We start from the raw sequence: 13,369 nt of genomic DNA, 5'->3' as shown, positions 1-13,369 counted from the left end.
CTCTTGGGGGAAGCACAGGAGGACAGGAGTGGAGGGTGGCAGACGACAGACAGCAGCATTCTGGGTCACTTAAGATTTTGCTGAGAGCAGGTCTTCACGTTTCCATTTCTACCTCCCTGTGTAGGACCTGGGGGCACCCGGAGCCTCTATCCGTACCTTGGCCTTCAATGTGCCTGGGGGGGTTGTGGCTGTGGGCCGGCTGGACAGTATGGTGGAGCTGTGGGCCTGGCGAGAAGGGGCACGGCTGGCTGCCTTCCCTGCCCACCATGGCTTTGTTGCTGCTGCGCTTTTCCTGCATGCGGGTTGCCAGTTACTGACGGCTGGAGAGGATGGCAAGGTCAGCTTGCAGAGGGCTGGTGGTGGGTTGTGAGGAGGAGTAGCAAAGGCAAAGAATATCTTGGTGGGGGTGGGGGTCCTTTGTCGAGGAGACTGTGGAGGAGCTTGGATTGCAGGAACCACGGGGAGAGGGGTGCCGCTGTGTGCAGGGGCAGCTCTCATGAGAAGAGTCTCTGGAAGGAGGACTTTAATGGGGGTGGCTGTAACTCAAAACAGGAAGGAGGACCGCGTGGTGGAGGTGGTATCCTTAAGCCCTTTTCTTGGTTCCCAGGTTCAGGTGTGGTCAGGGTCTCTGGGTCGGCCCCGTGGGCACCTGGGTTCCCTTTCTCTCTCTCCTGCCCTCTCTGTGGCACTCAGCCCAGATGGTGATCGGGTGGCTGTTGGATATCGAGCGGATGGCATTAGGATCTACAAAATCTCTTCAGGTACTGAAATGGGAATGGGTGGGTTTTTGAGCCTTTAGAAAGAGCGCAGCCCCTGCCCCCTACCCCTTCCCAAGTGTCTTACTCCCTTGTTCTCTCTCATTCTCTAGGTTCCCAGGGGGCTCAGGGTCAGGCACTGGATGTGGCAGTGTCCGCCCTGGCCTGGCTAAGCCCCAAGGTATTGGTGAGTGGTGCAGAAGATGGGTCCTTGCAGGGCTGGGCACTCAAGGAATGCTCCCTTCAGTCCCTCTGGCTCCTGTCCAGATTCCAGAAGCCTGTGCTAGGACTGGCCACTTCCCAGGAGCTCTTGGCTTCTGCCTCAGGTACTACTAGACAGTGGGCAGGGTTAACAAATTACTGTTCTTTTCTTTTCTTTTTTTTTTTTTTAAGACAGAGCTTCACTCTTGTTGCCCAGGCTAGAGTGCAGTGGTACGGTCTCGGCTCACTGCAACTTCTGCCTCCTGGGTTCAAGCAATTCTCCTGTCTCGGCCTCCCGAGTAGCTGGGATTACAGGCATGCGCCTCCACGCCCGGCTAATTTTATATTTTTAGTAGAGATGGGGTTTCACCATGTTGGTCATGCTGGTCTCGAACTCCTGACCATAGGTGATCCACCCACCTCGGCCTCCCAAAGTGCTGGGATTACAGACGTGAGCCATTGCGCCTGGCCCACAAATCACTGTTCCTTTTAAAGACACTAACACCTTTCTCCAAGTTGTATGTATATGTGTATGAAAATACACATGTGCGATTTTGTTTTACAACTTTCAAAGTGCTTTTGAATGCAATTATCTTGCATAATCTGTTTAGACTGTTTCCACTCATTCCTTCACCTTCATTCTGGGACCTCTAACCTCCCAGTAATCCTTTGAGTTTCTGCCCCGTGGGAGACTTTGCTGTGAAAAGGGATAGGTTTCCCTTAGAAGGAGAGAGAGAGATGTTGAGGTGAAAATGTAGAATGGCCTAGGCCCTCTCTAGGAGGGAGAACTGGTCCTCACAGGTCACGAGGTGGAAGTGACACTGGACACTTGAGAAGAGGAGGGGTCTGGAGCAGCTGCTGTGGGAGTACAGTTAGAGAAGCAGAGACAAGGAACTGTGTTCCCGGCCTGAGCTGTGGAGCTGGAGCTGGGAGTGCCGCACGTTCCCGTCCTATGTACACACTCGCTGATGACCCTTGCCCAGGGCCTCTCCACAGCCTTGTGACTCCCTGCATCCCTCCCATGGAGCTGAGCCTCAGGTGTCACCCTCAGCCCCCATGGCCGCTCCTGTCTTTGGCCTCCCAGGGCCTGTCTGGCTTCCTCTTTCAGGAAGCTGTTCCCTCTCTCTTTTTCCAATGCAGAGGATTTCACAGTGCAGCTGTGGCCAAGGCAGCTGCTGACGCGGCCACACAAGGCAGAAGACTTTCCCTGTGGCACTGAGCTGCGGGGACATGAGGGCCCTGTGAGCTGCTGTAGTTTCAGCACTGATGGAGGCAGCCTGGCCACCGGGGGCCGGGATCGGGTGAGCTGCAGAAGGATGCAACCCTGGGGTCCCATAGCCTCTCTAGTTCCTAGATTTCTTAACAACCCATTTCCCATTGCTTCCTCCTGCTTTTTGTTTTGCCAAATCTAGTATAGATCTGTCTGCCTGTGCTTCCTTGTGCCCCTCTTTCCTTGAAATTTCTTGCCTGAAATGGCTCCGGGGTTCCCATCCTTCCTTTGGTCCTGATTGCTCCCTCTCCTTGGGGCCTATCCAGAGTCTCCTCTGCTGGGACGTGAGGACACCCAAAACCCCTGTTTTGATCCACTCCTTCCCTGCCTGTCACCGTGACTGGGTCACTGGCTGTGCCTGGACCAAAGATAACCTACTGGTGAGTAAAGGGCCAGGGGTGGCACAGAGCCCAGCTGGGTTCCTGGGGCAAGACAACACTCCCCACCTCGTCCTTTTTCTGGCACCCATTAATAATAGTGATAGCTAATATTTGTCAAACTTGATATGTGCCAGGCATTGAACTAAGCTCTTTTCATATATTGCTTCACTTAATCTTTACAACACCCTGTAAAGTAGATACTCCTTTTATCTCTATTTTTCAGACAAGGAAATTGAACTCAGAACATTTCCAAGGTCAATGATGAAGCTGAGCCAGGGAACTCTCTAATAAGAAAGCCTAGGTCTGGGCACGGTGGCTCACACCTGTAATCCCAGCACTTTGGGAGGCCGAGGCGAGTGGATCACGAGGCCAGGAGTTCAAGACCAGGCTGACCAACATGGAGAAACCCTGTCTCTACTAAAGATACAAAATTAGCCAGGCGTGGTGACACATGCCTGTAATCCCAGCTACTCAGAAGGCTGAGGCAGGAGAATAACTTGAACCCGGGAGGCAGAGGTCGCGCCATTGCACTCCAGCCTGGGCAACAAGAGTGAAACTCCATCTCAAAATAATAACAATAATAATATGGACAATAGCTACCATTTATTATATGCTCACTGTGTGCCAGGCAGCATGCTAAGTCCTTTTTTTTTTTTTTGTTTTGAGACAGAGTTTCGTTCTTGTTGCCCAGGCTGGAGTGCAGTGGCGCAATCTCTGCTCACTGCAATCTCCACCTCCCAGGTTCGAATGATTCTCCTGCCTCAGCCTCCTGAGTAGCTGAGATTATAGGCACCTGCCACCATGCCCAGCTAATTTTTTGTATTTTTAGTAGAGATGGGGTTTCCTCATGTTGGCCAGGCTGGTCTTGAACTCCTGACCTCAGGCGATCCACCTGCCTCGGCCTCCCAAAGTATTGGGATTACAGGCATGAGCCACCGTGCCCAGCCTAAGTCCTTTATGTAGACGCACTCAGCCCCACAACCACCATATCAGATAGGTACATTATCATTATACTCATTAAATAGTTGGGAAACCCAAGGCTCAGAAAGAGAAACAGACCACAAAGCAGAAAGTAATGAGTGACAGAGCTAGGATTTGAACCCAGGAGAACCCAGGCCCTTAATTACGTGGCTAACCGCCTTCCACCCTACACTACAGATATACCAAAATGCTGGAGGGATGCTGATAATCCCACTCCTCTGACTTCTGACTCTGTAGATATCCTGCTCCAGTGATGGCTCTGTGGGGCTCTGGGACCCAGAGTCAGGACAGCGGCTTGGTCAGTTCCTGGGTCATCAGAGTGCTGTGAGCGCTGTGGCAGCTGTGGTGAGAAAGCAATGGAGATCCCACTGGGGGGTCTCTGGAAGGGCTAAGGGGGCTTTGGGAGACGGTGCATGGAGTATCTAATCCCAGAGGCAAAATGAGCATAAAAATGAGATACCTAGAGATTAGGCAACATAGGAAGACCCCCCATCTCTATAAAAAATAAAAATAAAAATTAGCTGGGTACCATGGTACATGCCTGTAGTTCTAGCTACTCAGGAGGCTGAGGCGAGAGATCACTTGAGCCCAGGATTTCAAGGCTACAGTGAGCTATGATCAAACCACTGCACTCCAGCCTCCAGTGTAACAGAGTGAGACCCTATCTTTAAAAAAAAAAAAAAGAGAAAAAGAAAATGAGATACTTGGGATTGGATTATGGTGTTGAGGCTAAGGGTTGGTGTAAAGGGAGAGAGGAGAGCATGAAAACACAGCCTCTTGGTATCATGAACTTGAGCCACCCGACCCCACTGTCCTGAGCCACCCAACCCCACTGTTCCTGAGTTCTCCTCCCTCATTGACATCTTCCATGCTCCTAATGCTCCACCCACCTCTGTGGAGGAAGTTCTGTTTCCCATGTCCTGCTCAATATGACTCTGCTCTGATCTTGTGCTCTGTGGGCAGGAGGAGCACGTGGTGTCTGTGAGCCGGGATGGGACCTTGAAAGTGTGGGACCATCAAGGCGTGGAGCTGACCAGCATCCCTGCTCACTCAGGACCCATTAGCCACTGTGCAGCTGCCATGGAGCCCCGTGCAGGTAACAAAACGTCAGCCACCTCCCCTTCCCTGCTGTCTCTTCTTTTCTCCCCTGCTCCGTCCCTTCTTCTGACTCAGTCTCTGTGTCTTATCAGCTGGACAGCCTGGGTCAGAGCTTCTGGTGGTAACCGTCGGGCTAGATGGGGCCACACGGTTATGGCATCCACTCTTGGTGAGTTCCTGCAAGGACCAGAGTCAAGGGAGGTGGGGAAGGTATGCGGAATAACCTTCTGTTGTGCCCACTCTCATGAGCCCATCTCCATCCCTTCCTCCTAGGTGTGCCAAACCCACACCCTCCTGGGACACAGCGGCCCAGTCCGTGCTGCTGCTGTTTCAGAAACCTCAGGCCTCATGCTGACCGCCTCTGAGGATGGTTCTGTACGGCTCTGGCAGGTTCCTAAGGAAGCAGGTGAGTGAGGCTTGGAGAGAGACAGGGTGTGTTACTGGCACAAAAAAAGGTCAAGGGTGGCCTGATATCTCTTATCCCAGCAGTATCCCAGCTCCTAATGAAACACGTCCTTTCTCCTCCAGATGACACATGTATACCAAGGAGTTCTGCAGCCGTCACTGCTGTGGCTTGGGCACCAGATGGTTCCATGGCAGTATCTGGAAATCAAGCTGGGGAACTAATCTTGTGGCAGGAAGCTAAGGCTGTGGCCACAGCACAGGTGAGTCGGTGTACCCTTGGTTCTTTGTCTGTGTGAATTCTACCCTGGCTGTGTATTTACTGGGCGTTAGAGGTTGCATATGTGCCTGGGAGGGAAAAGATGGTGCATCCTGGCTCATCAGAAGCACTGAATTGAACTTGTTGTGTACACCAGGCTCCAGGCCACATTGGTGCTCTGATCTGGTCCTCGGCACACACCTTTTTTGTCCTCAGTGCTGATGAGAAAATCAGCGAGTGGCAAGTGAAACTGCGGAAGGGTTCGGCACCCGGAAATTTGAGGTGAAACAGGCTGATGGGTTAATGGGATAGAAACAGCAGTCTCCTCACTCCTGGCATTTTACCCAAATTACTGCACTTCTGCTTCTGAACTAGGTCAATTGGATGTTAGTTACTGAGTGGGACATTATTTTCTGCTTCTGTCCATGGCAATGTAAATGAATAATTCTCAGGTGCCTACTTGATGCCAAGCTCTGGGCCAGGCAGTATGAACCAGTTACAGATGAAATTCATCCTTTAATTAAGGAAGCTCACAGTAGAGGAATGTGCATATATTTAAACCAGCAGCACTATTCAGACTGACTAGTGCTATAATGAAGATACACACACACACACACACACACACACACACACATACACACACACACACACATATTCCTGGGGCTTCAAAATTTGAGAAATTGTGGGAAGGAGTTGGTATTTAAGGTTGGACACTTACAGAATGAGTAGGAGTTTTCTGGACCAGTAAGAGAAGGGAACAGTGTTTCAGGAAGAGGAAGGAACATGTACAGAAGATATGGAGATGTTGAGAGTATGTAGTATATTCTGGGTATAGCCAGCTCCTTGGATTCCTGGTGGGAGTAAGGGAAATGGAATTGAATAGATAAACTGGGGTCAGGCTGTAGAGGGCACAGTGCTAAGAATTTTGGGTGGAATAATTATCTGGATTTTATAAAGAGAACTGGTGGCAGTATGGAAGATGGATGGTAGTAGAGAGATACTAAAGGTAAGGAGACCACATTTACACCTGTAGCTATAGCCTAGGAAAGACGTAATGTGGGCCTGACCTGGGCTGTGGAGATGAGAAGGGGAGATACGGATTTAGGCATGTGTTGCATCCACAGGCCTTACTGGTGAGTTGGAGGTAGAGAGGGAAGGAAAAGCCAAGAATGTTAGAGATTCCTAGTTTGAGCAAGTAATGGGATGGCACCGATGAATACTAATGTTAAAAAACAAAAACCAGAAAGTGGAACAGGATTTTCAGGGAAGGTGATACATTTTGCTTTGTACTTCATTCCTGAGGAATTCATGTGGGATTGAGGAGCCTGAGAAAGGTTAACTAAAATAGGATCTTTCTCTGTCCATGTACTTTTTTGAGCTAGTCTTCACCTGAACCGAATTCTACAGGAGGACTTAGGGGTGCTGACAAGTCTGGATTGGGCTCCTGATGGTCACTTTCTCATCTTGGCCAAAGCAGATTTGAAGTTACTTTGCATGAAGCCAGGGGATGCTCCATCTGAAATCTGGTAAGATCCAAAATGCCATTTCCTCCTGAGCTGGGGAAAAAGGAAACCTGAGTTAGTGGTTATCCTGAGGTTGAGTCTAACTTAGAAGAAAACTCTGGAGTCTTAAAGAGAGGTGTTCTTCTCTTTACCTCTCTTTAAATCCTGAGCTCAACCTATTCCTTTCTCACAAACCAGGAGCAGCTATACAGAAAATCCTATGATATTGTCCACCCACAAGGAGTATGGCATATTTGTCCTGCAGCCCAAGGATCCTGGAGTTCTTTCTTTCTTGGTAAGTCCTATTTGAGTGTGTGCTAAAGCAAACATTCGTCTAGGACCAGTGTTTTTACACCTTGGGGCCCGTCATGGAGGATAGGGAAGGGAAAGGCAGTTGGCTGCAAATCCTCTTATCCTCCTTCAACTGGAGCAGTTCTAATTTAGGACATTGTGTATTGGGTTCCCATGTAAGATTTCACTGGTACAAGAAAGGACTCTACCGTTTTAGAAAGCCATAGGAAACCATAAACCTAGAAGTTTTCTCAATTGCATTTTTTCCCGTGTCTCTCTTGTCTTGCCCCTATGAATAATAGCATCTTGAGGGCAAGGACTCCATCTTGTTTTTGTCATCATACTTAGCAGTTACTTAATAGATGTTCAACACTTTTTGGATTGAGTGTGCCAAAGCTAGCTGTTCACTTCAAATGCAGTTTCCTGGGAGCCGCTTGTTATTGGGAAGGTTATTAAATCCTGACCTGCTACCCACTAAAGTTATCTACTAAAGCCTATGCTTGACCCAGTGATTCCACTCCTAAATATATACCTAAGAGAAAGGAGTACATACATTCTGCAAAGCCGGGTACAAGAATCTTCATAGCAGCTTTATTCATCATAGCTAAATATTAATAAATAGAAAGGGGATAAATAATTTGTGGTATATCTATACAATGGAATACTACATGGCAAAAAAATTAATGTGATACTGCATGCTGATGAATGGAATAATACAGACATACCTCGTAGACATTATTCTGGGCAAAGGAAGCCAGTTACAAAGGAGTACATACTATATGATTTCACCTAAATGAAGTTTCAAGAACAAGCAAGACTAATTTCAGTTGACAGACATTAGAATATTTTTAGCTTTTGTGGTGATGGTCTGGTATTGATGGGAAAGGGACATAAGGGCAATTTTCTGAGGTGATGGAAATGCTCTACATCTTGATCTGTCGGGTGACTGCATGGGTGGATGCACATGTAAAAATACATCGCCGATGTACATTTAAGATTTGTGCACTTACCCAGGTGTAGTGGCTCACGCCTGTAATCCCAGCACTTTGGGAGGCCAAGGCCAGTGGATCACCTGAGGCCAGGAGTTCGAGACCAGCCTGGCCCACATGGTGAAACCCCATCTTTACTAAAAATAAAAAAATCAGCTGGGTGTGGTGGCGCACGCCGGTGTTCCCAGCTACTTGGGAGGCTGAGGCAGGATAATCGCTTGAACCCAGGAGGCAGAGGTTGCAGTGAACCGAGATCACGCCACTGCACTCCAGCCTGGGCGACAGAGTGAGACTCCGTCTCAAAAAAAAAAAAATTTGCGCACTTGATTGTATCTAAGTTGTAGTTAAAAAAAAAAAAAATTCCTGACCAGCCCAGAGCAGAAAACTGTTGTTTTGTCTGGTACAAGTTGACTCATATGGGTAGGCTAAACAAAATTACCTATTCTTTCACAGAGGCAAAAGGAATCAGGAGAGTTTGAAGAGAGGCTGAACTTTGATATAAACTTAGAGAATCCTAGTAGGACCCTAATATCGATAACTCAAGCCAAACCTGAATCTGGTGAGTGGTAACAGGAGGACCTGAGGAGCCGGGAGATGGCCCAGGGTGGATGGCAGATCCCTGAGACTTGGCTCTAATTCTGTCCTTAAAATGGCAGAGTCCTCATTTTTGTGTGCCAGCTCTGATGGGATCCTATGGAACCTGGCCAAATGCAGCCCAGAAGGAGAATGGACCACAGGTAACATGTGGCAGAAAAAAGCAAACACTCCAGAAACCCAAACTCCAGGGACAGACCCATCTACCTGCAGGGAATCTGATGCCAGCATGGATAGTGATGCCAGCATGGATAGTGAGCCAACACCACATCTAAAGACACGGCAGCGTAGAAAGGTGAGTTTGAAGGAAGGGTCAGAAATACTAGGGGAGGGCTGGGAGCAGTGGCTCACACCTATAATCCCAGCACTTTGGGAGGCCTAGGCGGGCAGATAATGAGGTCAGGAGATCAAGACCATCCTGGCTAACACGGTGAAACCCCATCTCTACTAAAAAATACAAAAAATTAGCTGGGCGTGGTGGCGGGTGCCTGTAGTCCCAGCTACTCGGGAGTCTGAGGCAGGAGAATGGTGTGAACCCGGGAGGCAGAGCTTGCGGTGAGCCGAGATTGCGCCACTGCACTCCAGCCTGGGCGACAGAGCGAGACTCTTGTCTCAAAAAAAAAAAAAAGAAATACTAAGGGAGGAGGGCTGTAGGTCTGACACAGCACATTGTGATGCTTCTCTGAGGAGGGGCCCCTGAGAACTCACCATTCTGCTCTCCCCTTTCCTCTTTGAGATTCACTCGGGCTCTGTCACAGCCCTCCATGTGCTACCTGAGTTGCTGGTGACAGCTTCGAAGGACAGAGATGTTAAGCTATGGGAGAGACCCAGTATGCAGCTGGTAAGTGTGTGTGTGTGTGTGTGTGTGTGTGTGCGTGCGCCTGCACACCTATCCCAAAGGGATGTCACAAGACAGCAAACTTAGAGTAAGAAAGGGCAAAAGATCAAAATTCTGTTTTCTTCAATCACTTGCAATGTATGACTAACCTGTTTCTAAATAAAAGGCATTAATGTGAGAAAAAATAAGTTAGTAAGGAGGCTTGTAGCCCTGACCTCCCCTATTTTTGTTCCCATCGTAGCTGGGCCTGTTCCGATGCGAAGGGTCAGTGAGCTGCCTGGAACCTTGGCTGGGCGCTAACTCCACCCTGCAGCTTGCCGTGGGAGACGTGCAGGGCAATGTGTACTTTCTGAATTGGGAATGAAGATGTGCCACTCGGGAATAATGATACCCCTTGTGCTAGAGATGCAAAGCCTGAAGACACTGGTAGCTTTTAATAATTATAAAATTAATAATTTCTTGATAATTATAAAAATGAAGTGTCAAAAAATCTCAAGTGTAGGCCTGCCTGTGTTCTCATGTGGATTTAGAACAGGAGGATATTCTATGTGTATGTATATGTACATTCTAATGTGTGTCTCTTCTTATTCAACATTAATCCTTACTAGAACCACAAGAAAGTGAATGAAATCTTTAGTAGGTACTCTTTTGAAACTAGGTTTTAGAATTCTTGCATCACTCGCGGGCCCTAGGACCCTAGGATGCCATTCTTGCCAGGAGGAGGAATGAGAGTGATGTTGGCCAACATTCAATTTGAACAGAGCATGGAAGACCTTTCAGTTCATCGGGAAAGAATGAGGGAGGGAGAATAAGTCAGTCATGCATCAGGGCATTTAGAAAGAGCTATGTTTCTGTCACAGAGACAGCCCTTTTCTCAGAACTACCCAGAGGAGGCCGGGCATGGTGGCTCACGCTTGTAATCCCAGCACTTTGGGAGGCCGAGGTGGGCAGATCACGAGGTCAGGAGATCAAGACCATCCTGGCTAACATAGTGAAACCCTGTCTCTACTAAAAAATACAAAAAGTTAGCCAGGTGTGGCGGCGGGCACCTGTAGTCCCAGCTACTTGGGAGGCTGAGGCAGGAGAATGGCGTGAACCCAGGAGGCGGAGCTTGCAGTGAGCCGAGACACCACTGCACTCCAGCCTGGGCAACAGAGCGAGACTCTGTCTAAAAAAAAAAAAAAAGAACTACCCAGATGAGAGGTGAGGAGCCAAGCCATTGAAAGCGGAACAAACCTTCTGGTTTTCCCAACTTCTGACACGACTTTCAACTTTAGTCAATATGGTAATTGGCATTCTCAGAAGAGATCACGAAAGTGTCTTACTCTCTCTCAAATTGAAATTCACAAAGATTAAAACTAATTGAGAGGTGGCACAATCATAGCCATGAACTCTGATTTTCTTAAGTAAAAAACCTTTTTTTTTTTTTTTTGTTTTTGAGATAGAGTCTGGCTCTGTCACCTAGGCTGGAGTGCAATGGTGCAATCTCAGCTCAGTGCAACCTCTGCTTCCTGGGTTCAAGCGATTCTCCTGCCTTAGCCTCCCGAGTAGCTGGGATTACAGGTGCCCACCACCACGCCCAGCTAATTTTTGTATTTCAGTAGAGACGAAGTTTCACCATGTTGGCCAGGTGGGTCTCAAACTCCTGACCTCAGGTTATCTGCACACCTCAGCCTCTTAAAGTTCTGGGATTACAGGCGTGAGCCATTGTGCCCGGCCCATAAAAGAACTTTATTATATTTCTAAAATTCAATCATATGGAAGAATCTATTGAGCAGGTTAGCCTTTGCTTAACTTTCCTCCTCTGTTACTCCAGCCTTAGCTGGGGTGTTTTGTAGAATTTTCAGAGCATGGGAGACAGACAACTAGAGCTTCCTCCTGCCCTTGGCCCATGCTTTTAGGAGAGCAAAAGGCAAAAGATTGAAACCACTGACTTTAGTTTCCTCAGGCCCTTTCTTTCTGAGGGTTAAAGAAGAAGGAAATGTCTTCTGTGGCCAAGAATTCAAGGACTTGTAGGAGATAAGTGAAGGCTATTACAGGGATTTTGTCCTGGTTTGGTAGGTTTCTCTTGGAGAAATACCACTACACCCTGGTCTAGAAATGAGTTTTGAAGACTTGGGGAGTTAAAGGGCACTGAGTTTTACTCTCACTGTACCCTGATTCCAGGTTTTACATGGAGAAATAACCTGAGGGACTTTATTTCTATCCAATGCCCTGGTTTCCATCCTGACCAGAGGATGATGACATCCGCTGATAGGCCATGCTTCTGTCTTCTCTTATGTGCCTCATGCCAAGCCTCGAAATATACCTTCTGGACCATCATTTCCACATCTACCTTGTGACTAGAAGTCCTAGTTATGGTATTTTGAAATTTATGATCCATAATCCTTGCCAGAAATCCTGCAGCGAACTATGGCATGGCATCATCCTAGTCATTGATTTCAATCTTTTGCCTTTTGCTCCCCTAAAATCTTGGGCCAATTGCAGGAGGAAGCTCTATTTGTCTCTCTTCCATGCTCTGAAAATTATATAAAAGCATCCCAGCTAAGGCTGGAGTGAAGGGGTTGGGGAAAGTTAAGCAAAGGCTAACTTGACCAATAGGCTCAATAGATTCAGTCTTGTTGGCCAGGCCCACTTGAAGGGTTTTTTGTTTCATCTTGGAGAAGGACAGTGAGGTCATGGTATAATTGTTATGAGTAAAGTCAAGAACAGCTTCTAGGTAAAAGTAATTATGTACCCAAAAGGAGTTGAAGGGAAAATCAATTTAGGTTTACATTAAACATCCTTCAAGTTCTTATCTTTAAATGGAGTTTCAGTGTCTCCCAAAGGCTGGATGAGTTTTACAGTTATAACCACTGGATTGTGAGACCATAGGACATTTGAACAATCTTTTCTTCTACCCATCTAGAAAAGCATCTTTTTTATATACCAAATTTTTACACATATATCCACATCTGTTTTTGAAATCTAGAGCAGAGGTACTCAAAGTTTGGTTCATGGACTAGTGCCAGTTCACAAATTGTTAATGTTTTATAATGAGATAAGTACGGAAGTTGAGAGTAACCATTTAGAAACTGTGTAGGAATTTAAAAAGTAATATCTGACAAATTTAATAATAAAAATGGAGGCTTGTATTTTGTGTGCTTTTTAATTTCATTTTCTTAATAATCCATTTTGATTATATTTTATAAAAGTATTATTCCGTGACAGATAAGAAATTAAAACAGGCCAGGCACGGTGGCTCACGCCTATAATCCCAGCACTTTGAAAGGCCAAGGCGGGTGGATCACCTGGGGTCTGGAGTTCGAGGCGAGCCTGGCCAATATGGTGAAACCCCGTCTCTACTAAAAATACAAAAAATTAGCTGGGCATGGTGGCAGGCACCTGTAATCCCAGCTACTTGGGGGGCTGAGGCAGGAGAATCGCTTGAACTCAGGGGGCAGAGGTTGCAGTGAGCCGAGATCGCATCATTGCACTCCAGGCTGGGCAACAAGAATGAAACTTGGTCAAAAAAAAAAAAAAAAGAAAAAAAAGAAAGCAAGAAAGAGAGAGGGAGGGCGGGAGGGAGGCAGGAAGGAAGAAAGAAAGACAAAGGAACAATTAGTCCTTCATCTCAGAAGGTTTGAGAAGCACTACTCTAGAGAGACTGGGTAACAGCAGCAAAAAGCATGGACTTGGAATAAGACTGCCTGAGTTCAAATCTTCATGCCTCCTTTCCCCCATTTGTACAACAGCCATAATAATGGTGCTTACTTCATGGGAGTGTTTTAAGGACTAAATGAGTTAAGGTGTAAAACACAGAACAGTGA

General features: G+C 47.3%; 1 protein-coding gene across 6 annotated transcripts in view; it reads left to right on the top strand.

Moving 5' to 3' along the window:
• TEP1 (telomerase associated protein 1) overlaps window positions 1-12,694 on the top strand; it is a 47,835-nt gene extending 35,141 nt beyond the window's left edge. For 5 of the 6 annotated variants that reach the window (NM_001319035.2, NM_007110.5, XM_005268027.6 and 2 more), the window contains 17 exons: window positions 125-337; window positions 608-761; window positions 869-1,081; window positions 2,097-2,257; window positions 2,493-2,606; window positions 3,825-3,932; window positions 4,551-4,683; window positions 4,778-4,854; window positions 4,959-5,091; window positions 5,214-5,350; window positions 5,504-5,628; window positions 6,729-6,872; window positions 7,047-7,143; window positions 8,582-8,687; window positions 8,785-9,017; window positions 9,459-9,563; window positions 9,802-12,694. In NM_001319035.2, the coding sequence (NP_001305964.1) occupies window positions 125-337; window positions 608-761; window positions 869-1,081; window positions 2,097-2,257; window positions 2,493-2,606; window positions 3,825-3,932; window positions 4,551-4,683; window positions 4,778-4,854; window positions 4,959-5,091; window positions 5,214-5,350; window positions 5,504-5,628; window positions 6,729-6,872; window positions 7,047-7,143; window positions 8,582-8,687; window positions 8,785-9,017; window positions 9,459-9,563; window positions 9,802-9,924 (2,376 nt within the window). In that variant the 3' untranslated portion in view covers window positions 9,925-12,694. Of the gene's footprint in view, window positions 1-124; window positions 338-607; window positions 762-868; window positions 1,082-2,096; window positions 2,258-2,492; window positions 2,607-3,824; window positions 3,933-4,550; window positions 4,684-4,777; window positions 4,855-4,958; window positions 5,092-5,213; window positions 5,351-5,503; window positions 5,629-6,728; window positions 6,873-7,046; window positions 7,144-8,581; window positions 8,688-8,784; window positions 9,018-9,458; window positions 9,564-9,801 lie in introns of those variants that run through there. The other variant, XM_047431734.1, reaches the window with a different exon arrangement.
• The last annotated feature ends 675 nt before the right edge of the window (window positions 12,695-13,369 follow it).

The sequence above is a fragment of the Homo sapiens genome, chromosome 14, assembly GCF_000001405.40.
Source record: "Homo sapiens chromosome 14, GRCh38.p14 Primary Assembly".
NCBI lineage: Eukaryota > Metazoa > Chordata > Mammalia > Primates > Hominidae > Homo > Homo sapiens.
Note: the sequence above shows the minus strand (reverse complement) of the source record. Positions and strands in the feature narration are given on the sequence as shown.